The following is a 27,052-nucleotide window of genomic DNA, read 5'->3' on the forward strand; positions in this document are numbered from 1 at the left end:
TCAAGCAATTATCTGTCTCAGCCTCCCAAGTAGCTGGGATTACAGGGACCTGCCACCACGCCCAGCTAATTTTTGTATTTTTAGTAGAGATGGGGTTTCACCATCTTGGCCAGGCTGGTCTTGAACTCCTGACCTCATGATCCACCCGCCTCGGCCTCCCAAAGCGCTGGGATTACAGGCGTGAGCCACCACAGCTGGCTGCATTTTTTCTTTAAGTTTATCATGTCTGATATTAATTCAGTTACGCCAACTTTCTTTTGGTGTTTGCCTCATATATCTTTTTCCTTTGTACTATTTCAACCTTATGTAGACATGTCACTTATTAAAAGCATATAACTTAATTTTGGCTATATCTAATCCTATATTTTCTTAACTGGTGAGTTTATTCCATTAACATATATTGTAATTATTATATGTCTGGATTTCTTCCCACCACCTTACTTCTTAATTTCTGCTCATTCCACTTTTTCCCATGCTTCTTGTCCCTTCTTGGATTGAATTTGTGTTTGTCCCCTTTTTTCTGTCTCTACTTGTTTGGAATTTACACTATTTTTAGACTTATTTTTAAATTTTTACTATGTACATTTAGCTTTTCAAAGTCTAAAGTTAATTAATATCTTAATATCCTGCCTCTCCCTTGAAATTAAAAAAAACACTCTAGAATACTTCAATTCTAGAATTCCCCTTAGTCCTGATTTACCTGCTGTTAGTTGATATTTTAGTTCTATCATTTTTAAACGCCCCCTTAAATATAAAATCATTATTTTATACAGACTATTTTATTTACCCACGATTGCTTTCTGCATCTCATACTAGCCTCCTTATATCTCAGACTTTCTGGATTCATTTTCCTTTTCCGAAATATACCCTTTAGAAGTTCCTTTACTGTGGTTATCTCACAGTGGTAAATTCTCTCCGTTTTTGTTCATCTCTGAAAGTTTTTATTTCATACCTTTGTTGTTTAAATATTTTGTTTTTTCCTGAGTACACAATTCCAGGTTGCCAGTTGTTTTAACATTCAGAAAATATCATTCTGCTGTCTTTGGCTTCTGTTATTGTTATTGAGAAGTCTGCTGTCGTCATAATTGTCAATCCTCCATAGGTGGCTTCTTTTAAGATCTTCTCTTTGTCTTTAATGATCTGTAGTTCCATTATGATCTATCTTGATGTGGATTTCTTTTTATGTATTGTTTGCATTTAATCTTTTTCCTCTTATCTACTGCTTCTACCTTAATCCAAGCACCCCTCTAATTTCTTCAGGTCTCCATCTGTATCACTCTCCTACTCCTCATGCCCCATCTATATCTGGAGTTTGCCAGGCTTTTTCTTGCCATGGGGCTTTTGCTCTGCTCTTCTGTTTGCCTAAAAGCTGGAAAGAACCTTCCCACCACTCTTAGCCTGCAAACTCCAACTCTTTTAGATCTCAGTTTAACATCAATTCCTTAGACAGGCTTTTAACATCAATTCCTTAGAGAAGCTTTCCTTGAGGCTTTTTCTTTTAAGTTTCATTTAATCTTGATAAAGCAGTGAAAATGGTAAGTGTTATTAAATCTCTTCCCTAAATTGCCATAATAGTTTCCCTCTGTTAGAGAGCATCGTTTTTCCCTTGCTCAGTCTTTATCCCACTTTGCAATTACATTAATATATTCATGTGGTATTTGTTAATGTCTGTTTTCCCCACTTGTCTGTAAACTACACTGGAGCAATGGCTGTGTCTGGCTTTATTCACTACTCTATACTCAGACTATAACACAGTACCTGGGATACAGTAGGCTTTCAATAAAGTTTTGTTGAATAAACAAATGACCAAATGGAAAAAAACTTCCTTTAAGTGGCATATAACAGCACTTCTAGATCTAAACCCTGCCTGTTCTGCAGCCTCATCTCCCACCTTACCCCATTCCCATCTCACACATTCTATTGGAAAATAATGCTCTTTCGTGCCTCTGTGACTTTGCATTTGCTATTTATTCCCATTTCCTAAAAAGGTACTCCTTTAGCCTGCAAACTCTTTATTCAGCAAAGAAACCTCCTCCATGAAGCCTTCCTTTAGGAGATTTGCCCATCCGTGGGCAGAGGTGTCCTGCCCTTCCCGACAGCCCTGGCATCTCAATCACAGCCTCACCCTAGTGGATCTTAATGGCTGCCATCTGCCTCTTGTGGATGACAGAAGCGCTATGGTCTACTGCCCTGCATATCCTAGGCATTCAAAGAATGCCTGGGGAAAGGGGACTAGAAAGGCCATGCAGAGCAGAATAACCGAGGGTGTCAGGTCTTTGAGGAGATAAGAAGAAATGGGGTCACGAGAATAAGTAAAAGGATTAGTCTCATCAGAGTGAACGTTTTCAGAAAAACAAGGAAATTGAGTTGAGTGCAGGAGATGAAAATAGGTGAACTGTGATAGGAAAAGGAGGAAGTTGAGGCAGTGGCTTCATGTTCTCAGCAAAATAGGAGAAACCATTCTTTTGAGAGGGACAAGGGACAAAGGTGGAGGGTTTAGAGAGTAACAGACAAAACAGAATAGCCACAGTGTTCAGTGTATAAGTCCTAACAGCTGACTCCTAGCTAATGTAAAAGCTTCCTTAAACAAATTTCTTACCAGTCACACTTTACCAAACCAAACCGAGGATGCATTAGTAAGTGTAACTCTACTGTCCCAGCTCTCTGTTTCCAGAGAACAAATCTGATCTAAGTGGTTACGTCCTTTTAAAGGTCAGGCATTTCACATTCAATCATTTAAGGGAATCTTTGATTTAAAATACTACATATGAAAGCATACCAAAAAAAGTTAAGTGCTTGTATCTTCATTACATGTATTTTACTACACACAGTTCTTGTATTGAGCTGTCTTTTCACATAAAGAAAAAGATTGAATGGTCCTTAAAAACAGGGCCATGTGTTACTAGCTTCTGTATCAATTTGCACTGTCTTGCAAAATATCTTGCACAAAGGAGGCATTCAGATAGTTTTTTAATGAAATTAAATAAGTGAATAAGTCCCTTAGGCATCCTAGATTTTGGAAGGGGAATTTACAAATCTTTTTGAAATAATACAAAAGTGGCTATTGTCAGGAAGAGGAATAGACAATAGAAAAGAAAAACTAGAGCAGTACAAGAGGTGAGAATTATCCAAAAATGTTCTTGGTTGATTGCACTAGTGGATTCAGTGGATATTTCACAACACCTTTTATTTTTTTTGTGATGGAGTTTCGTTCTGTTACCCAGGCTAGAGTGCTGTGTCACGATCTTGGCTCACTGCAACCTCTGCCTCCAGGGTTCAAGTGATTCTCCTGCCTCAGCCTCCCGAGCAGCTGCGTTACAGGCATGAGCCACCACACCCAGCTAATTTTTATATTTTTAGTAGAGACAAGGTTTCGCCATGTTGGCCAGGCTGATCTCGAACTCCTGACCTCAGATGATCCACCCACTTTGGCATCCCAAAGTGCTGGGATTACAGGCATGAGCCACTGTGGCTGGCCTAAAATAATAAATTTTAAGTTAAATTTTCCACTCTAAGAATTGGAACATAGTCTATCCTACTCAACTTAGCATATACACACTGAAAACCTTCTTAGTTCAGGGCACAGCTTTGCTATCTATATGTTCCTTACCCAAATCACTTAGGCTCTCTGAACTTCCCTGATCTATAAAATGGGCATAAAAACAGTATTTATCTTACACAGATGTTACGAAGACTAAATGGAAATAATACAATCTAAGCACCGTGCCAGGCAAGAGTAAGTGCTAACCAAAGTTAGTTATAATTCCCTGGAAACTATAATCTAAAATGTTAGAGATAAAATATTACTTAGACCAGTGGTTCTTACGTGGTCTGTGGGTCTCTGGAGGTCTCTGAAACTCTTTTAGGGAGTCCATAGGTCAAAACTATTTTTATAATATTTATGACATTATCTATCTTTTTAACGGGGATGACATTTGCACTAATGGTGCAAAAGCAATAGTAGGTAAAGCTGCTGGCACCCTAGCATGAATTACAGTAACGGCATCAAACTGTGCTAGTAGCAGTATATTCTTCACTATATATTTACAGGTTTTTTTTAAGTTTCATTTAATCTTGATAAAGCAGTAAAAATGATTTTATTAAATCTCAGCCCTTGAGTGCACATCTTTTAATATCCTGTGTGATGAAACTGGCAGTATGTATAAAACACCAGTTCAAGCTGTGTTCCTTTTGGAAAAAGAAATACAAAAAGTAAAAGAAAATTTAAAAAAATAAATGAATAAAGTACTGGGTCCATATACCTAAGTAGATGGCTGTCTGGAAAAACGCACTTGTGAGCTGTCTGAATTGTGAGCTGAACTAGTCTTGATCCATAGAACACCATCTTTACTTAAAAGAACCACAGACAAATTATAGTTATTCAGGCCTAGCTGTTTGGCAGACATTTTCTCAAAAGAGAAAATCAAGGAAAATAACTATCAGTATTTGGTGCCAATATTAAAATTCGAGCTTTCAAGTAAAAATTAGAATTTTGGAAAATGTGTATCTGCCACCATCAGTTTGACAGCTTCCCAATGCTTAAAAATTTTGATGAAATTGGTAGTGATATTAACATATTTTAAATACTGCAAAATAAAATGTGTCAACATTTGAGAAATCTGCATAACTCAGTGAACCAGTATTTTCTAAATAACTGATGTTAGAAAACCATGCATGGGTTAAAGATCCAGTCAAAATGTGTAACAGACCAATGGATTTTAATGTAAGAGAGTATGAATGTTCACTAATACAGGTTCAGATTCCACATTGCAACTAATCTTTAAAAAAAAAACTATGACTTGTCAAATTTAGAGTAGTATGAGATATCCACAATTATCTGAAAAGATCATTAATGTACTCCCCATTTTTCTAACTACATATCTGTATCTGTGAGGCTGGATTTTCTCATATACTTCAATCAAAACAACATATCACAATAGACTGAATGCAGAAGCAGGTATGAGAAACCATTTGTCTTCTATTAAAGAGATTCAAAAATATGTAAAACCATGCCTATCTTCTCACTAAATTTGGGGGTTGGAAAATAGTGTTACTTTTCAGTTAAAAAAAAAAAAGTGTTGTGGCCGGGCACGGTGGCTCATGCCTGTAATCCCAGCACTTTGGGAGGCCAAGGTGGACAGAGCACAAGGTCAGGAGATCAAGACCATCCTGGCTGACACGGTGAAACCCTGTCTCTACTAAAAATACAAAAAATTAGCCAGGCGTGGTGGCGGGTGCCTGTAGTCTCAGCTACTCAGGAGGCTGAGGCAGGAGAATGGCGTGAACCCGGGAGGCGGAGCTTGCAGTAAGCCTAGATCACGCCACTGCACTCCCGCCTGGGCGACAGAGCGAGACTCCGTCACAAAAAAAAAAAAAAAAAAAAAAAAAAAGTGTTGTTGTGTTATTTTTTAATGAATAAACAAGTAAATTTCTCAGTTTTAATTTCTACTCAGGTAAATACTGACAGATACAACTCATGTAAAACAAAAACTCTTTGAGGTTCTCAATAATTTTTAAGAATTATGAGACTGTGAGACCAAAAAGTTTCAGAACTGCCATCTTAGATGATTCATTGTTTCTGTTCACAAAGTTGAAAAATAATCTACCCTATACATAGTACATTGTAGTTCTAGAATACTGTGAAGGCATTTGGATACTTAGAACACAAAGTAAATGATCCAGATATCAAATTTCAACCTGGCGGAAATGTTTTGGGATATCCTAGTATGTGATCTCCTATAAAGTAACAATGTGCTCCTGGTTTTTAAGGTAGGTCATTAGTATGCTGTTTAGGCACACACCAGATATTGAGGAAAAGAAAAATCTGGCAGCCAGGCACGGTGGCTTACACCTGTAATCCCAGCACTTTGGGAGGCCGAGGCAGGTGGATCACGTGAGGTCAGGGGTTCGAGACCAGCCTGACCAATATGGTGAAACCCGTCTCTACTAAAAATACAAAAATTAGCCAGGCATGGTGGTGGGCATCTGTAGTCTCAGCTACTCGAGAGGCTGAGACAGGAGAATTGCTTGAACCTGGGAAGCAGATGTTGCAGTGAGCTGAGATCACACCACTGCACTCCAGCCCAGGCAACAAAAGCAAAACTCTGTCTCAAAAAAAAAAAAGAAAAATCTGGCACAGAACACACACCAAAATAGCTCCTATGCCATTCTATACCATTTTTCCTCCCTTCTCCCCAAAACTTGCTTCCAAATGAAATGAGATAAGACACCATTGAGATTATCAATTCAAATTAAGATAACAGAAACCTTATAAGAAATCCTGCAGGAAAGCAAATAAATGTGGGAGCCTGCCTAGAGAATCAGATTTTCTCTAGAAGGTTTCTGGCTCAGTGTGAACCTTCTTCTACCCTGCCCTAAATAAAAAGACCACACAAAAACAAATTTCCAGTGCATGTGGGGCTCTCTGTTCACCAAAAGCTTTGATTCAACTAATAAATGATGTTAACATTGGAAATGGCTCTGAATGCCAAGGCCAGCCTTAGAAATCGCCTCAACTGCAGACTGAGAATCGCTGGGAGGGATGTAGGTGTAGTAAGAACAAAAAATTAAAAAGAGTAAACATCTGCAACCTACAGAATGGGAGAAAATTTTTGCAGTCTACCCATCTGACAAAGGGCTAATATCCAGAATCTACAAAGAACTTAAACAAATTTACAAGAAAATATCAAACAACCTCATCAAAAAGTGGGCAAAGGATATGAACACTTTTCAAAAGAAGACATTTATGCAGCCAACAGACACATGAAAAAATGCTCATCATCACTGGTCATCAGAGAAATGCAAATCAAAACCACAATGAGATACCATCTCACACCAGTTAGAATGGTGATCATTAAAAAGTCAGGAAACAACAGGTGCTGGAGAGGATGTGGAGAAATAGGAACGCTTTTACACTGTTGGTGGGAATGTAAACTAGTTCAACCACTGTGGAAGACAGTGTGGTGATTCCTCAAGGATCTAGAACTAGAAATACCATTTGACCCAGCAATCCCATTACTGGGTATACACCCAAAGGATTATAAATCATGCTACTATAAAGACATATGCACACGTATGTTTATTGTGGCACTATTCACAATAGCAAAGACTTGGAACCAACCCGAATGTCCATCAATGATAGACTGGATTAAGAAAATGTGGCACATATACACCATGGAATACTATGCAGCCATAAAAAAGGATGAGTTCACGTCCTTTGTGGACATGGATGAAGCTGGAAACCATCATTCTGAGCAAACTATATGCAAGGACAGAAAACCAAACACCGCATGTTCTCACTCATAGGTGGGAATTGAACAATGAGAACACTTGGACACAGGGCAGGGAACATCACACACCTGGACCTGTTGTGGTGTGGGGGGCCGGGGGAGGGATAGCATTAAGAGAAATACCTAATGTAAATGACGAGTTAATGGGTGCAGCAAACCAACACAGCACATGTATACATATGTAACAAACCTGAACATTGTGCACATGTACCCTAGAACTTAAAGTATAATAAAAAAAAGAGTAAACATTTTTTGATGTTTCGATAATGTAAGTCTGTGCCAAGCACTATTTTAAGCATTTTAAATAATTTAAGTAATTTAATCTTTTTAAATTTTTTTTTTTTTAGACGGAGTCTCGCTCTGTCACCAGGCTGGAGTGCAGTGGCACCATCTCGGCTCACTGCAACCTCCGCTTCCCCGGTTCAAGTGATTCTCCTGCCTCAGCCTCCCGAGTAGCTGGGACTACAGGAGCATGCCACCACACCGGCTAATTTTTTGTATTTTTTTAGTAGAGATGGGGTTTCACCGTGTTAGCCAGGGTGGATTCGATCTCCTGACCTCGTGATCCGCCCACCTCAGTCTCCCAAGGCACTGGGATTACAGGCGTGAGCCACCGCAACCGGCCAATATTTTTTTTTTTTTTTTTGAGACAGGGTCTCGCTCTGTCACCCAGGCTGGAGTGCAGTGGTGTGATCACGGCTCACTGCAGCCTTGACCTCCTTAGGCTCAGGTGATCCTCCCACCTCAGCCTCCTGAGCAGCTGAAACTACAGGCGCACACCATCATGCCTGGCTAATTTTGTTTTTGGGTTTTTTTTTTTTTGTTTTTTGTGTTTTTTTTTTGTATAGAGAGAGTTTCTTTCACTCTGTTGCCCAGGCCAGTCTTGAACTCCTGGGCTTAAAGCAGTCCACCCACCTCAGCCTCCCAAACTGCTAGGATTACGGGCGTGAGCCACCATGCCCAGCCAAAATTAAGATTAATAACCCTATGAAGTTGGTAAAGTTTTCATCCCCATTTTGTCCTGGTATCCACTACAACTGCATTACATCACGTTTGAAACTCATACTCTAAAATGCCATCCTTCCTGCCTCTTATCCTGGAAAACACAAAGGAACCACTGAGTTCACAAAGACTAGATTGTTACTATCAATACCCGTTATCCAAGTAACTCAGTAGCTACCACATTAGCCTGGTGCAGGGTGCGCGCCTATAGTCCCAGCTACTTGAGAGGCTGAAGCAGAAGGATCCCTGGAGCCCAGGACGCTGAGATCAGCCTGGGCATAGTAAGACCCCCATCCTAAAAGTCAGACTTAAAATCTGATACTTTTTCCTACAACAAATTCCTCTTTCAAGAGATTAACTTACTATTAAAAAAAAAGAGAGAGAAATAATTAACATGTTCTTTACAATAAGAACTCAAAGAAAAGGAATCAAAATGAATCAAACTTTTGAGGATGCTTTTAGGTACCTCTTGATTGAAACAAAGAAGCATTCCAGAAATATACCTGTTGGAGCCATCTTTCATATGGACTTTGGCGTAAAGAACATCCACCATGCCAGGATCATCATTCATGTATTCTATCCCTGCCATCTCCACTTCTAGGGGTTTACCCCCAGAAATATCACTGCAAAGGAAAAAGCATTAAGATATCTATAACTGTTTAAGCTAAGAGGGCTATTTTATTTTGAAACATGGTTAATACACATAGTCAAATATGTATGTTACTTACATGTGTACAAAAACATGGTAGTTGTGTTTTTTCCTAACATTATCTAATTGCCCTTCTAATTTCAAAATTAATAAATTTTCAATGCACACAAATTGGAAAACACCGGAAAGTATTTCCAATGTCAAACTACATTTATCCCAATACCAGTTTATTAGCACTGTCTCATGAAGAAAGTCAAGTGATGACAGTTCTGATCCATAAAGACATTTACTATGTTGGCTCATCTCTCAGGCGCCCATCTCTACTATTTCTACAAGTTACAAACAGCATTTCACTCATATAACAAAGGTGGAGGTATAAACTGATATCACATCTTTATTTACTTTTTTGTTTGTTTGTTTTGTTTTGTTTTGAGACGGAGTTTTGCTGTTGCCCAGGCTGGAGTACAGTGGCGTGATCTCGGCTCACTGCAACCTCCACCTCCCGGGTTCACACCATTCTCCTGCCTCAGCCTACCGAGTAGCTGGGACTACAGGCGCCCGCCACCACGCCCGCCTAATTTTTTTGCATTTTTAGTAGAGATGGGGTTTCACCATGTTAGCCAGGATGGCCTCGATCTCCTGACCTCGTGATCTGCCCGCCTCAGCCTCCCAAAGTGCTGGGATTACAGGTGTGAGCCACCACGCCTGGCCTTTTTTATTTTATTTTTTTTGAGACAGTTTTGCTAGTCGCCCAGGCTGGAGTGCAATGGCACGATCTCGGATTGCAACCTCCACCTCCTAGATTCAAGTGATTCTCCTGTCTCAGCCTCCTGAGTAGCTGGGACTACAGGCACCTGCCACCACGCCAAGCTAATTTTTGTATTTTTAGTAGAGATGGGGTTTAGCTATATTGGCCAGGGTGGTCTTAACTCCAGACCTCAGGTGATCCTCCCGCCTTGGCCTCCCAAAGTGCTGTGATTACAGGCATGAGCCACTGCGCTCAGCCTGATATCACATCTTTACAAGCAATCTGTCAATATTTATGAGAAGCCTTCATCAATAAAAACCCTTTCCCCAAGCAATTCCATTTCCAGGAGCCCAAGCTAAGGAAACAATTTTGAATTCAGTTACACATCAACTTGTGTAACTGTTGATAAAGCAAAGTTCTCCTTTACAGAAGAACTCCAAAACTAATAAATGCAGAAGGAACAACAAAATTAGAATCTTGCAACTCCTGATAAAATAATAGATCTTGACAATGATCACCAATGGCTGCTAAAACTTGGGCAAAAGGCTGGGGGAAATATAAAGTGACCTCTCTAAAGAGGAGCTCTATAAATAATGGTCATGATGACCACACCTGAACCCACTGACCAAGCTGAATATTAACAGTAAAAGAAACAACCAGACAATATGTGCCTCTTAGCATGATGCAATAAGAATATACTCATATTTATGAGAAATAATTTATGCATAGGGTTTTTTTTTTTTTTTTGAGACAGGGCCACACTCTGTCACCCAGGCTAGAGTGCAGTGGCGTGATCTTGGCTCATTGCAACCTCCACCTCCCAGGTTCAAGCAATTCTTGTGCCTCAGCCTCCCAAGTAGCTGGAATTATAAACATGTGCCACCATGTCTGGCTAATTTTTATACTTTTAGTAGAGACTAGGTTTTGCCATGTTGCCCAGGCTGGTCTTGAACTCCTGGGCTGAAGACATCTGCCTGCCTTGGCCTCCCAAAGTGCTGGGATTACAGGCGTGAGCCACTGCACTTGGCCTATGCATAGGGTTTTAAATGAGGCATAAAGTTTTGTTTTGAGTACCAAAAGATTGGCAACAGACTAAAAGTCAAATAACATGGTACTGATTAGATAAATTATAATACTAAGAGCAATAAATAAACTATACATGTGACTAAGGAAGCTTTTAGGTACTGATATAAAACAATATAAAAAACATTAAAAACTGATATAAAATGATATATAAAACTGATATAATAAGTTATATTTCTAAGTTTTAAAAAAGGTTTACAACAATGTGCATGCTATGCTACTTGTACAAAAGATGGAGGTATAAAAAATATGTTATATATATTTGTTCATACATCTATAAAATCCCTGGAAGGATACAGAGAAAGTGGTACACTGGTTGCCTCTAGAGAGGAAAGCAGGTGGCTGATGAATTTCAGTGGTAGAGAAACTGCACTGCGTATCCTTTGCAACTTTTTGAACTATGTAAATGTATTATCCATTAACAAGTTAAAATTTTAAAAAATATCCAAAATAAACCAAACACAAAAGTGTATATACTAAATAATTCTATTTATGGGACATTTAAAAACAAACCACCAAATCTATGTAATAGAAATCAGAACAGAGGTTGCTTCTGGGAGAAGTGAATTCACTGGAAAAAGGCATGAGGGACCCTCATGGGGTGATGGCAATGTTCCACGTCTTGATTTGGGTGAGGTTGCACAGGTATAGACATTGGTCAAAGCTCATCAACTACACCTAAGATCTGTGCATTTTTAGTGTAAGTAAATTACACCTCAAAGGAAAAACATACATATACATATCCAAAGTGCTAATGGTAATTATTTTTTAGTGGTAAGATTACAAAATGATATTTTATTTTTGTGTATCTGTAATTACTGGTTTTCCTAAAATTAACACGTATTACCTTTGTGTTAAGTAAAACCCCACCATCCTGTTTTCTTCCTGGACCCCTTAATAAAGAAACTTGTACTGCAACCAGAAAAGGCCTTGTTGTGCCATGCTGAAACCCAATTAAAAATCAGCTCACTGCGCAGCCTTCTCCAAACCCCAAGGGGATAGGCACTTTCTCCATCTTATCCACATCTATATCCTCAAAATCTCACACCATGACTTATACAAAATGGGTGTTCAATAAATCTCTGGCAAACATTAAATGGATGTTTTAAGGGGGAAGCTGTTCTGGACAATTTTGAGAAGAATATGGTCACAGGCTGATATATTAAATAGTTTGGATATTTGTCCCTGCCCAAGTCTCCTGTTGAATTGTAATCCCTAATGTTGGAGGTGGGGCCTAGTGGGAGGTGTTGGGATCATGGGGACAGATCTCTTGTCAATGGCTTGGGCCATCCCCTTGGTGATAAATGAGCTCTCACTCTGAGTTCACACAAAATCTACTTGTTTCAAAGTGTGTGGCACCTCCCCTGCCACTCTCTGTTGCTTGTTCCTGCTTCTGCTATGTGATGTGCTTGATCCCCTTCACCTTCTGCCATAATTGAAGCTTTCTGAGGCCTCCCGAGAAGCCGAGCATGCTTCTTGCAATCCTGCAGAACTGTGAGCCGATTAAACCTCTTTTCTTTATAAGTTACCCAGTCTCTGGTATTTCTTTATAGCAATAATGCAAGAACAGCATAATACACATGCTATATTGTCATTAAGTAAAAATGTGGTACTGCCTTAAAAACAAAAGGATTTGGCCGGGTGCGGTGGCTCACGCCTGTAATCCCAGAACTTCGGGAGGCTAAGGCGGGTGGATCATGAGGTCAGGAGATCGAGACCATCCTGGCTAACATGCTGAAAGACGGTGAAACCCCATCTCTACTAAATATACAAAAAACTAGCCGGGCGTGGTGGCGGGCGCCTGTAGTCCCGGCTACTCAGGAGGCTGAGGCAGGAGAATGGCGCGAACCCAGGGGGCGGAGCTTGCAGTGAGCAGAGATCTCGCCACTGCACTCCAGCCTGGGCGACAGAATAAGACTCCATCTCAAAAAAAAAAAAAAGAAAAAAAAAAGGATTTTAGGATCAATCAAAAGACAGCTGGAAAAAAAGGAAAAAGTTGTCTTGACATTGAACCCAGGTCATGGGGATGCTCTTTGTAGCCTAGGAATCCTAGTAGTAAAGATTCCCTTAACACTTCAAGGCCTTATTATTGCATAAGACCAAAACTTCTCTCAGTGTGAAACTAGTAACTCAACTATTTTAGGCGGACACTTTTCTTTCCATGTTGCCCAGGGTGGTCTCAAACTCCTGGGCTCAAGCAATCCTTCCAGCTTGGCCTCCCAAAGTGCTTGGGTTACAGGCATGAGCCACTGCGCCCGGCCCAGATACTTTTTCTAATTAAGAAAAATTACAGCCTTGATCATAATAAGTCTTCCTATAGCCACCTCTAATAAGAAGTGAAATGTTTCAAAACACAAGCCAAGCTCTGAACTGTCATCTGAGGTATGTAGCTTCCATCAATACACAATGTATCTTCATTCCAAGTACTAGCCAAAGAATTCGATTTGAAAGATTGCCACTGAATCCTATCAAAATGAAGTCAAAAAAGTTTGTTTGAAAAAAAGTTTCACACTAAATACACATCCTCCGACATTTTTAAAGCTCTCACCCTGCATAGTTATATCACCAGAAAGCATCACCACACCATTGGCTTAGATTCCCACTAAAATGTTTTTAATGGGTTATATTTAATGTTATATCTGCAATTTCTAAGGTCAACAGAAGAAAGACCCATATGAACAATGTTTTTATCTTCTGCAAAATTCCTGTTAAAGACACTGTCAATCATCATTCAGCATTCTTTATTAAGATTTACATGACAAACTTTTGATGGATCGAGAACCAGAAAAGGTTACTCTCCTGAAAAAACTGTTATACTGGGGTTGGCTTCACAACAACCTGAGTGTACTTAACACTACTGAACTATGCACTTAAAATGGTTATGATGGCAAATTTTATGTTGTATTTTACCACAACTGAAAATTTTTTTAAACTATAAAAAAAATTGTCATACTGCTTTTTATCAGACAAGAACTATACTAAGTGGTGTATTTCTTTTTGTAATTTAGTTCAAGTACACTGGTGTCAGAAAATAGTACCAAACTTTAATGCTCAAGTACAATTATTACCTTACCTTGACTTTCAGATAGAATTTTCTCCCTATACCATCCTTATGGTTTCTAAATCTCTGACTGTAACATTTCTTTTGTATACATGTCCTCACTCTTAACTACCTCAAATACTTGGAATTAGATGGGGTACTAAGAAGAAAAAAAATTAGAAACAATGAAACAGGATCCAAAGCCTGCTTTATGAGCAGAAACACAAACTGTTTCAACCCACCCCTGAGATTTATCAAGAGGGAGATGAAAGAGCAGGATAGAAATCCGATGGTTTGCCCGATAAACACTCTTTGTCTTAGTGGCCAAACAATTACATCTGGGACACCAGTAAGCAAATTACTTTCCAACTGATGACACGTGAGGCAATAATCAGGCATTAATGTTTGTTCACGCGTATTTTCTCTCCTCTTTCTAGTCCCTTTAAACTTCTTTGGTTTGACGTCAGGCCTGCTGGAAACACTGAGGCACAGGAGGGTGCTGCTGTGACTGAAGAAGAGCTGCACATTTGTCAGACTCCGTACTCAGAGCCAGTGCACGGTCTGTGTCCTACATCTCACAAAGGAAAGTCACCAGGGACACAGCCGGAGCTTCCGAATTTACTAAACACTGAATAATTCATTCAAAATCTATAGAGCTACAAGAGCCTTTCACTGAAAAATTGAAACAAAACTCCTGTTTTTGGTCTCATAGCATCCTTCAAATTAAAAAACTACCCCCAAATTTAAAATGAATACTCAACTACTCATTTCTTCAATATAGCCATACAGCTCCACAGTTTAAATCAAATTCCAACATAGCCACATTTATTTCAATACTCCCATTTTAAAAACCATCAAATTAAACTACAGCACACTATGTACAGGTCTGTTCATTTTTCAGTGTTTTCCTTTCATATTTTAATTTGGGACCACTACACCATAAAAGGTTCAGGTTAGAAATGCCATTATTTATGGACATTTTTTCTAAGTACACCAAGCACAAAGACTAAGGTCAAAGAGCAAGAAAAAATTCGATGATCCAATTTACTGATTTACTTACCAGAGATTTAACAGAAGTACCCTTTTTGTTTTTTTAAGAAGTAGTCTCTTCTCAGAAGTAAATCAGTTTTGCACTTTTTAAACAAATGCATGTGATGGGAGAAATCAGGAGAAGAAGGTTGGGGAGGCTTGCTTTATTTTACTCGCTGGTTCCACATCTTTCCAGCTTTTTAAAAAGAGCATCTTTAAACAAATTTTTGCATGCACTGCAGATTTTTGGCAGGGTAACTTTGTCCTATTTCAAAAGCTTTGCTGAATTTGAAAAACTACAATTACTGTTTTCATACTGTCATGTCAAAAATTCTGAGGAACTATTAAAACTGCTCTTTATTCCCCAGGCACACTAACTCTGACATGCTTAAAGGGCTGAGATTTGGCATTTAGTCACAAAAGGCACCAAGAAACATAAAAGGGAGGAACTCAGCTAAATCTTTGCATAGCTTAGGATAAACCTTCAGTGATTAAAAACCTGTGACCTGATTTTCATAAGGTAAAAAGAACAAGTACTTCTCTAAACAAAATATTTTATCTACCTTTAAATTTTTTCTTAGCAGGATTATCCCAATGGCAGCCAAGGAAATGTAGTAGCTTTCAGTTTAGTTTAGCAAAAAGTAAACTGGGAATACATTAAAGTATCAGAACTGATCCTTAAACCAGGTAAAACTGCCCTGCTTTGTAAAATAAAGCATAATGCTTTGCTTTATATAAGGGAAATGGAAAGTATCTAATGACAAACACCAAATTATTTTGAATTTCAGGTAAGATCTAGAGAAAACAGATATGTCCGTTACTGAGCAAAGAACATGACAAGAAGTGTTCTTTGCTCTCTGAGATTCAGAAAGGATAGAAGACTGCAAACCCTATCAGCTTATGATCTTGCTCAAGAAAAATAGTTTGTCTTTGAAAAAATTAGTTGAAAAAGATAACTGGCCCATAAAGTGTTTGTATTACACAGTTTCTTTTTTTTTTTTTTTTTTTGAGATGGAGTCTCACTCTGTCGCCCAGGCTGGAGTGCAGTGGCGCAATCTCGGCTCACTGCAAGCTCCGCCTCCCGGGTTCACGCCATTCTCCTGCCTCAGCCTCCTGAGTAGCTGGGACTACAGGTGCCTGCCACCATGCCCAGCTAATTTTTTGCATTTTTAGTAGAGACAAGGTTTCACCGTGTTAGCCAGGATGATCTCGATCTCCTGACCTCGTCATCTGCCCGCCTCGGCCTCCCAAAGTGCTGGGATTACAGGTGTGAGCCACTGTTCTTGGCTAAACAGTTTCATATACAACATAACTAGAGAAAAATTTTAGATCCTTTTACCTTGTTCTATCCAATGAACCAGGTAAACCATTTCTATAAGGCCATGTTAGAATAGCATGGGGCCTGCCTACAAGAATGGAGTAAAAAAACTATTTGAGTGAATTGGCTTTCACATTTCTCTCTTTTGTCAATCTTAAGTAAAAGGAAGAAAGTAAAGGGAAATAGGGGAAGATACGGTTCTTTGAAATAAAGCTGTTATGCCAGATGTATGTGTAAATTAAAATTTTACAGTAAAAAAAGAATAACAACTCTGCCCTCAGAACAGTAATGCTTTCCCTGAGTCAAAACAGATTGCTTAGACTGTTTCTGGTATCCTTTCTGAACTGGCTGGAGATGGCAGCTCACGCCTGTAATCCCAGCACTTTTGGAGGCCGAAGCAGGAGAGTTGCTTGAGACCAGGAGTTTGAGACTAGCTAGCCTGGGTAACAGAGAAAGACCCCGTCCCTAAAAAAAATAAAAATAAAAATAATAATAAAAAAAGTTTTATTTTTTAAAATTCTTGCTGAATCAAATAAAATTATTTGTATTAAAAAAAAAAAAAAAAAAGAGGCCGGGCTTGGTTGCTCACGCCTGTAATCCCAGCACTTTGGGAGGCCAAGGCGGGCGGATCACAAGGTCAAGAGATCAAGACCATCCTGGCTAAAATGGTGAAACCCCGTCTCTACTAAAAATACAAAAAATTAGCCGGACGCGGTGGCGGGCGCCTGTAGTCCCAGCTACTCAGGAGGCTGAGGCAGGAGAATGGCGAGAACCCAGCAGGCAGAGCTTGCAGTGAGCCGAGATTGCGCCACTGCACTCCAGCCTGGGCGACAGAGCAAGATTCCATCTCAAAAAACAAAAAAAAAGAAAGTAAGTCAGTATTTCTAAAATATAATGAAGACTTCCCTAGAGAATCGTGTTATAATGTTTGCACTCCAGCCTGGGCGACAGGAAAAAAAAAAAAAAAGAAACACAGTGTTTCTAAAATATAATGAAGACTCTCCTAGAGAATCGTGTTATAATGTTTGAGTTACTGTAATAGACAGAATAATGACCCCCAAAGATGTTAATGTCCCACTCTCTAGAATTTATATTCTATCTTACATGGCAAAGAGATTTTTGTAGATGTGATTAAGGTTATGGAATCTGGTATGAGAGGTTAGCCTGTATTGCCTGAGTGGGCTCCATCAAATCACATGAGTCCTTCCCATGTTATACACCCTCTGGTTCAAAAACAAGTCTGTAATACCAAAAAGAAGCCAGCCCAGGTAGACCACCCAACCCCCATCCCTGAGAATTACTCACTTAATGAATTCCTCTTTACACTGCTGTAGCATCTCACATGTCTGCTGGATCTCTTCCTCACTCAAAAGCACCAACATCCCAATAGTTAGATGAAGCTTTTTAGGATTCTGGAAAATGCTGCTGTCAACCCCATGATCCTGTTATCAAAGAGAGAAAAACAAGAAACTCAGCCCATACAAAGGCAAATGGCAAGAATAAAATTGAGTCCCCAAAAATAAACCCACACACCTACAGCCAAGTGATTTTCCACAAGGTGCCAAGACCATTCAATAGAGAAAGTCTCCTCAATAAATGATGCTAGAACAATAGAATACCCACATGCAAAAGAATAAAGATAGACTACTACCTCCTACCATATAAAAAAATTAACAAAATAGATCATGACCTGGAATTCAGCAATGGATTCTCAGATATGACACCAAAAACATGGACGACAAAAGAAAAAAATAAACTGGATTTCACCAAATTAAAAAACTTTTGTGCATCAAAGAACACTATCAGGAAAGTGAAAAGAAGCCTACAGAATGGCAGAAATATTTGCAAGTAATTTACCTGATAAGGGTCTAGTATCCGGAATATATAAAGAACTCTTCCAATTCAACAACGAAAAGAAATCTAATATTTTTATTTTTTAATTATTTATTTATTTTTGAGACAGAATCTCGCTCTGTTGCCCAGGCTGGAGGGCAATGGCGTGATCTTGGCTCACTGCAAGCTCTGCCTCCTGAGTTCATGCCATTCTCCTGCCTCCGCCTCCCAAGTAGCTGGGACTACAGGCGCCCGCCACCACGCCCGGCTAATTTTTTTGTATTTTTAGTAGAGAACAGGGTTCACCATTTTAGCCAGGATGGTCTCAATCTCCTGACCTCATGATCCGCCCGCCTCAGCCTCCCAAAGTGTTGGGATTACAAGAGTGAGCCACCGCGCCTGGCCCAATTTTTTTATTTTTTAAGAGACTGGGTCTTGCTGTCACCCAGGCTGGACTGCAGTGGTGCAGTCACAGCTCACTGTAACCTCAAACTCCTGGGCTCAAGCGATCCTCCTGCCTCAGCCTCCTGCATAGCTGGGATTATGGGTGTGAGCCACAGAACCCAGTAGAACCCAATTTTAAAATGGGAAAAGGGACCAGGCACAGTGGCTCACGCCTGTAATCCCAACATTTTGGGAGGCTGAGGCGGGTGGATCACTTGAGATCAGGAGTTCAAGACCAGCCTGACCAACATGGTGAAACCCCATCTCTACCAAAAATACAAAAATTAGCTGGGTGTGGTGGCAGGCGCCTGTAATCCCACATACTCGGGAGGCTGACACAGGAGAATCGCTTAAACCTGGGAGGCAGAGGTTGCAGTGAGCCAAGATCACGCCATTGCACTCCAGCCTGGGTGACAAAGTGAGACTCTGTCTCAAAAAAAAAGGAAAAGGACTGGAATAGACTTTTCTCCAAGGCAGAAATACAAATGGCTAACAAGCAGAACTGGCTAACAAGCACATGAACATCATTAGTCACTTAGGGAAATGCAAATCAAAACCACTATGAGGTACCATTTCACACCCACTAAAAATCAAAATAATGGAAAATGACAAGTGCTGGCGAGGATGTGTAGAAATTGGAACCCTCATACATTGTTGCTAGGAAGGTAAAATGACTCAGCCTCTGTGAAAAAGAGTTTGGCAGTTCCTCAAAAAGTTAAACATAGAATTACCACATGACCCAGCAATTCTACTCCTAGGTATATGCCCAAGAGAACTGAAAAAGGGACTCAAATACATGTACATGCATGTTTCCAGAAGCACTACTCACAACAGCCAAAAGATGGAAATAACCCAAATGTATATCAACAGATGAATGGATAAACAAACCGTAGTATATACACACAGTGGAATATTATTCAGCCTCAAAAAGGAATGAAATTCTGGCTGGCCGCGGTGGCTCATGCCTGTAATCCCAGCACTTTGGGAGGCCGAGGCAGGCAGATCACCTGAGGTCAGGAGTTCGAGACCAGACTGACCAACATGGCAAAACCCTGTCTCTACTAAAAATACAAAAATTAGCCGGGTGTGGTGGTGTGTGCCTGTAATCCCAGCTACTACGGAGGCTGAGGCAGGAGAATTGCTTGAACCTGGGAGGAAAAGGTTGCAGTGAGCCGAGATCGCACCACTGCACTCCAGCCTAGGAGACAGAGTGAGACTCACTCTGTCTCCAAAAAAAAATTTTGGCTCTGGGAAGCACAAAAAGTAAATATACCTCATGAATCCCTAAAATTGAGGTGAAATTCACATAATATAAAATTAACCATTTTAAAGTGTACAATACAGCAGTATTTATATTTAGTGTATTCAATGTTGTGCAACCACCAGCATTCTTTAGTAGCAAAACTTTATCATCTGATAAAAGCATTCCATATCCATTTATTTATTTACTTTATATTTATTTTTATTTTTTGTGATGGAGTCTTGCTCTGTCATCCAGGCTAGAGTGCAATGATGCGATCTTGGCTCGCTACAACTTTTGCCTCCCGGGTTCAAGCAATTCTCCTGCCTCAGCCTCCTGAGTAGCTGGGATTACAGGTGCCTGCCACCACTCCTGGCTAATTTTTTGATTTTTTGTAGACAGGGTTTTTACCATGTTGGACAGGCTGATCTCCAATTCCTGACCTCAGGTGATCCGCCCATCTCAGCCTCCCAAAGTGCTGGGATTACATGCATGAGCCACCATGACCAGCCCTCATACCCATTTAAATAAATAATCACTCCTCTTTCTCCATGCCCCATCCCCTAGTGACCTCTAGTTTGCTTTTTGTCTCTTTGGATTTATCTATTCTGGATATATTATATAGAAAGGATCATACAATATAAGACCTCTGTGACCAGCTTCTTTCATTTACCATGATGTTTTCAAGGTTCATCCAAGCTGTAGCATTATCACTCCTTCACTCCTTTTTAGAGTTAAATAATATTTTAGTGTATGTATGTATCAAAATGTGTTTATTAATTCATCTATTGAAGATTTGGGTTTTTTGCACCTTTGCTATTAGGAATAATGCTGCTATAAACATTTGTGTACAAATTTCTGTGTTAACATATGTTTTCAGTTATTTAGGGTATATACCCAGGAGGAGAACTGCTGGGTCACATGGCAATTCTATGTTTAACTTTTGAGAAACCACCAAACCATTCTCTACATTGGCTGAACTAACAAACATTCCCAGCAGCAATGTATGAAGGCTCCTGTTTCCCCACATCTTCACTGACACTTGCTTTTTAAAAAAATGATAGCGATCCTTGTGGGTATAAAGTGGTATTACATTGTGGTTTTGACTTGCATTTCACTAACGATCAATGATGATGACATCTTTTCATGTGCTTTTTGGATATTTGTACATCTTCTCTGGAGAAATGTCTACTAAAATCTTTTGCCCATTTCAAAACTGTCTTTTCATTGTTGAGTTTTAAGAATTCTTTATAAATTATTGATAGTATACCCATATCGGTCCATGGGTCCCTTTTAAAGGAAGGTAGGTCTCAAATTTCATTAATCTCATTCTGCAAATGAAAACAAGAAAAAAAAAGTTGAAACTCTTTTTCTTTTTTTTTGAGACGGAGTTTCGCTCTTGTTGCCCAGGCTGGAGTACGATGGTGCAATCTTGGCTCACTGCAACCTCCGCTTCCCAGGTTCAAGTGATTTGCCTGCCTCAGCCTTCCTGAGTAGCTGGGATTGACAGGCATGCGCCACCATGCCCGCCTAATTTTATGTTTTTAGTAGAGACGGGGTTTCTCCATGTTGGTCAGGCTGGTCCCAAACTCCTGACCTCAGGTGATCCACCCGCCTCAGCCTCCCAAAGTGCTGGGATTACAGGCATGAGCCACCGCGCCCGGCCAAGTTGAAGCTCTTCTATTCCAACAGGAATGAAACAGGAATCCTATCACTGAACTGCAAGTTCTTATTGTATAATCAGGTCTCTGGCCTGATAAAATGCTCCAAAGGCAGAGAAAGGTATTTTATCAAGTATGAATAGCTTACATCCTGTTCTTGGTTTACCTAAGGCTTACTGCCTAATATTTGCCTTTGCAACAGTAGTTAGTTGACTCTTCGTTTTCTAAGTGTTAATGGAGCTTGAGCTATTTTTACATCTGATGAAAAGTTTTGTGATTCCACACATCAACCCAAATTGCCTAATTTAATGAAAGTGATTGTAAGGAACAATCAGCTTTAAATGTGTCAAGGAAGGCTAAGTGCAAGGCTTATCACCCCAGCTTCTCTAACCCATGGCCTGCCACATTAGAAAAGGCATGCAAAGCCCCTCAAATTATTTTAATATGCACAACTCCATCCCAAACTACAATTGAGAACTGCTCCCCAGCAATAACGGTAATATTTGTTGGGCCCTTGCTCTGCTCCAAACGTTTTCTATGCAATGTATAGACAAATATCTTATGACAGAAGCACTATTATCATCCATACTTTACAGATGAGGAAACTGAGGCACTGAGAAATTAAGCCACTTTCCCAAGGTAACACTGCTAGGAAGAGATGAGGTCAAAATTCAAACCCAGGCAGTCAAGCCCTAAAGTCTATACTTTTGATCAATATTATATACATAGCCTTCCTAGTAATAGTTGCCCAAAGTGGGCTAGGACCATAGGACCACCACCCAGAGGCAAGTCCTTATGCATTTCAACACAGCTCACTCAATAAATGGATCTAATCACTAAATTAGGCCTGAGAATAAAAAGAATCTCATAATTCTATCAAAGGAAAGTGGTTTTAACATCTGCCTTTTCTAGCCAGGCACAGTGGCTCATGCCTGAAATCTCAGCACTTTGGGAAGCCAAAGCGGAAGGATCGCTTGAGGCCAGGAGTTCAAGACCAGCCTGGGCAACTTAGACCAGTTCAAGACCAGCCTGGCAAACATGTTTCTTTTTGTAGAGAAAAAAACCAACATAATTGAGTTTTTTTTCTCTACAAAAAAAAAACAAAACCCACAATATCTGCCTTTTTTTAGATATGACACCAAAAGCATAATCCATAAAAGAAAAAAAAATGGATAAAGTGAACTTAATCAAAATTTAAAACTTGTGCTTCAACAGATATCATCAAGAAAATGAAAAGATAAGCCACAGAGAAAAATATTTGGGAGAAAAACATTTGCAAATCCTACATCTGATAAATATAAACATAAAAAATTCTTAAAGTTCAACAATAAAAAGATACATAATCCAATTTTAAAATAAGCTAAAGATTTGAACAGATATTTTCCCAAAGAGGATATACTAATGGCTAACAAACTTATGAAAAGAGGCTCAACATCATTAGTCATTAAAGAAACGCAAATCAAAACCAAAATGAGATATCACCTCACACCCATCAGAATTATTATAATCAAAAAGATAAACAATAACAAGTGTAGATGAGGATATGGAAAAACCGAGCAGCCACTTTGTAAAATATAAATTTGTAAAACAGCACGGCCACTTTGGAAAACAGTTTGGCAGTTACTCAAAAAATTAAACATAAATTTACAAAAATTCATACAAAAAAAATACAATGCAGCCATTTCACTCCTAGGATTCTACCCAACGAAATGAAAACAAAGATCCACCTCAAGATGTGTACATGAAATCTCACAGCAGTATTATTTATAATAGCCAAAGAGTAGGAACAATCCACAAGTCCACCAACTGGTGAATGAATAAACAAAATGTAGGCTAGCCATATATGCAACACTATTCGGAAATCAAAAGTAATGAACTACTAACACATGCAAAAACATAGATAAGCCTCAAAATATTATGCTAAATAAAAGAAGCCAGATGCAAAAGACTACGTATTATATGATTCTATCTACATGAAATGTCCAGAAAGGACAAATCTAAAGAGACTGAAAGCAGGTTAACAGTTGCCTGTGGTGAGGAGTGGGGCGGCAAACAGGCACAAGGGATCTTTTTAGGGTGATGGAAATGTTCTAAAGCTGAATTGTGGTAATGACTGCACAACTCTGTAAATTTATTTAAAATCACTAAATTGTACACTTAAAATGAATTAATTTTATGGTATGTAAATTATACCTTAATGAAGCTGTTAAATAAGTTGTGTCTATGTCTTTTTTTTTTTTTTTTTTAAGACAAGGTCTCCTCTGTCACCCAAGCTGGGGTGCAGTGGCATGATCATGAATCCTGCAGCCTCAAACTCCTGGCCTCAAGCGATCCTCTCTCCTCAGCCTCCCTGTGGCTGGGACTACAAGCTCACATCACCACACCTAGCTAATTTTTTTTAAATTTTTGTAGAAATGGGGTCTCATTATGTTGCCCAGGCTGGTTTCAAACTCCTGGCCTTAAGCAGGCCTCCCACCTGAAGCTACCACACCTGGCTAGCTCACTGGTGGTGGCTTACCCCTGTAATCCCAGCACTTTGGGAGGCCGAGGCAGGGGGATCACGAGGTCAGGAGATCGGGACCATCCTGGCTAACACAGTGAAACCCCGTCTCTACTAAAAATACAAAAAAACTAGCCGGGCGTGGTGGCACGCGCCTGTAGTTCCAGCTACTCAGGAGGCTGAGGCAGCAGAATTGCTTGAACCTGGGAGGTGGAGGTTGCAGTGAGCCGAGATCGTGCCATTGCACTCCAGTCTGGGTGACAGAGCGAGACTCCATCTCAAATAAATAAATAAATAAATAAAATAAAATACTTTTAAAAATCAAAGAAAAAACTCAAAATGCTATTGAACAATAGGCAAAAGACAGACACTTCACATGAATAAAGATATAAAAATGACTCGAACATGTAGAAAGACATATAATTTTGCTCATTTAAAAAATGCAAATTAAAACTACACTGAATATCATTTCTCACCCATCAAACTGACAAAAAATCAAAAGCTTCACAATACACTCTGTTGGAGAGGCTGTAGGGACACAGGCACTTTCATACATTGCTAGCAGAAATGCAAAATGGTACAATCCCTGTGGAGGGAAATTTGGCAATATCTAACAAAACAAAAGACACTATAAATAAGTATTTACCATCTGACCCAATGCTCTAGACTGAATTGTGTGCCCCCCAAATTCATATGCTGAAGCCCTTCCACTCAATGTAAATGTATTTGGAGACAGGGCCTTTTGGGGATAAAGTTAAACAAGGCCATAAGGGTGGGGTCCTAATCCAACAGGACTGGTGTCTTTATTCAGAAGAAGAAACACCATGAGTGAGAAAGCACAGAGAAAAGGCCGGCAAAGAGAAACAGTCGCATGAGGACACAGCAAGCAGGTGGCCATCTGCAAGCCAGGAAGAGGCTATAGCAGAAAGCAACCCTGCCAGCACCTTGATCTTAGTCTTCCAAGTTCTAGAGCTAAGAGAAAACAAATTTCTATTGTTTAAGCCACCCAGTCTGTGGTATTCTATGACAGCAGCCTGAGCAGATTAATATACCCAACAATCCTACTTCTAGGAATTTATCCTGAAGATACATCAACAACGTAAAATATGTATGCATGAGGTTAGACATTACAGCATTACTGCAGAACACTTAAATGCTCAAGTATAGAATGGTTGCAAACTATGTATAAACACATGTATACAATGATCTGGAGTGATATTTCAGGACCTATTATTAAATGAGAAATGCAAAGTGCAGGACAGGGCGGGTTGCCTCACACCTGCAATCCCAGCACTTTGGGAGGTCAAGGTGGGCAGATCACTTGAGACCAGCCCGGGTAACAAGGTGAAACCCCGTCTACACAAGAAATACAAAAATTAGCCGGGTGTGGTGGCACATGCATGCCGGTAGTTCCAGCTACTCAGGAGGCTGAAGTGGGAGGATCACTTGAGTCCCAGAGGTCGGGGCTACAGTGAGCTGTGATAGTGCCACTGCACTCCAGCCTGAGTGACAGAGCAAGATCCTGTCTCAAAAAAAAAGACAAGTGCAGAAGAGCTTCTATACTTGCTACCATTTAAGAAAGAAGGGAAAATAAGAAAACATACATTAATATATATATGCTTATTTTTACAAAAAAAACACAGGACAAATAAACCAGAAAACAATGATATTGGTCACCCACAAGGGATGAAGGAGAAAGGGGCAGAAAGAATACAAGAATGTGTGACACTTCTGGGTATGTATGCCTCTTACATAGTTTTGACTTTTGGAAGCACGTTAATGGTCTACATATTCAAACATAAAATAAACAAGTATGGAAAAGGGAAAGAAACCTAATTTGAAAGTAAACTAAAAATAAACCCAACTGTATTTTAAATGAATATCAAATCCACACTAGAGGGGGTTAAGAAAGAATCAACAAACACAAGGCCGGGCGTGGTGGCTCACGCCTGTAATCCCAGCACTTTGGGAGGCCAAGATGGGCGGATCACCTGAGATCAGGAGTTCGAGACCAGCCTGGCCAACATGGTGAAACCCCGTCTCTACTAAAAACACAAAAATTAGCAGGGCATGGTATCACGTGCCTGTAATCCCAGCTACTCAAGAAGCTGAGGCAGGAGAATTGCTTGAACCCAGGAGGAAGACGTTGCAGTGAGACAAGATCGTGCCATTGCACTAAAGCCTGGGCGACAAGAGTGAAACTCCGTCTCAAAGAAAAAAAAAAAAATCAGGCAAGAATCATTAAAGGATGTTAAATCTAAGGAGAAATTTTGTTGAGGAGCAGAATATTTGCATAGTCTTAAAATGTCCTCTTCTAGACTGCTTATCGGTTGAAAGGTAAAAATATAGTAACTATAAAGAAATTAATCAACACTGACTGGATGGTGTCAAAATTAACATCACCAATGAGGGACACTGTATACTCTAAGAAGGACACATTATCACCTATGCAATGCTCCATCCAGGAATGCCTAAGTCTACTCATGAGGAAATGCCAGACAGATCAAAAGTGAGAAGCATTCTATTTAAAAAGCCAATGTCAAGAAAGACAAAGAGCCGGCGTGGCACCGTGCCTGGAATCCTGGCTACTCAGGAGGATCACTTGAGCCCAGGAGTTCAAGGTGCAGTGGTGCTCACAGCACCGCACTACACCCTGGGTGACAGCAGAGTGAGACTGTATCTCAAAAAAAAAAAAAAAAAAAAGAAAGAAAGGCAGACAAAGAAAGCCTGTGGAAATGTTCCAGATTCAAGGAGGCTAGAAACATGACAATTAAATACAACACCTAATCCTAGACTGAATCCCAAACTAGAGAGGGAAAAAATGCTACAAAGGATATTACTGGATTAAGTGACAAAATTTGAACGTGGATGGTAAATTAGATAAAACTATCAATGTTAAACGTATTGAGGTTGAGAACTATAACATTATTATGCAAAAAAAAAATTTTGCCAGACACAGTGGTGCACGCCTATAGTCTCAGCTGCTCAGGAGGCTGAGGGGATAGCTTGAGACCAGGAATTCAAAACTAGCCTGGACAACATAGCAAGATCCCACCCCCCCCAATATTTTTAATTAAAATATTTTGAAATATTTAGGGTTAAAGGGCTATGACATGTGCAACTCACTCTAAAGCAGTTGAGAAAGATAAAAATGGAATACGAAAACAAATAGTGAAATATTAACAATAGGTGAATCTGAATAAAGGATACTATTCT

General features: G+C 39.7%; 1 protein-coding gene across 38 annotated transcripts in view; it reads right to left on the reverse strand.

The window, feature by feature from the left end:
* The window catches only part of ASCC1 (activating signal cointegrator 1 complex subunit 1), a 121,103-nt gene that overhangs the window by 48,043 nt on the left and 46,008 nt on the right, over positions 1-27,052 (reverse strand). For 27 of the 38 annotated variants that reach the window (NR_045564.1, XM_047425259.1, XM_024448032.2 and 24 more), the window contains 2 exons: positions 17,464-17,600; positions 8,795-8,914 (listed from right to left, as the gene is read on the reverse strand). Coding sequence is in view for 37 of the 38 variants with exons in the window: in XM_047425259.1 (XP_047281215.1) it covers positions 8,795-8,914; positions 17,464-17,600 (257 nt within the window). In the remaining variant the exon portion in view is untranslated. The remainder of the gene's footprint in view (positions 1-8,794; positions 8,915-17,463; positions 17,601-27,052) is intronic. The other 11 variants (XM_047425261.1, NM_001369099.1, XM_047425258.1 and 8 more) reach the window with 1 other exon arrangement.

This window comes from Homo sapiens, chromosome 10, assembly GCF_000001405.40.
Source record: "Homo sapiens chromosome 10, GRCh38.p14 Primary Assembly".
NCBI lineage: Eukaryota > Metazoa > Chordata > Mammalia > Primates > Hominidae > Homo > Homo sapiens.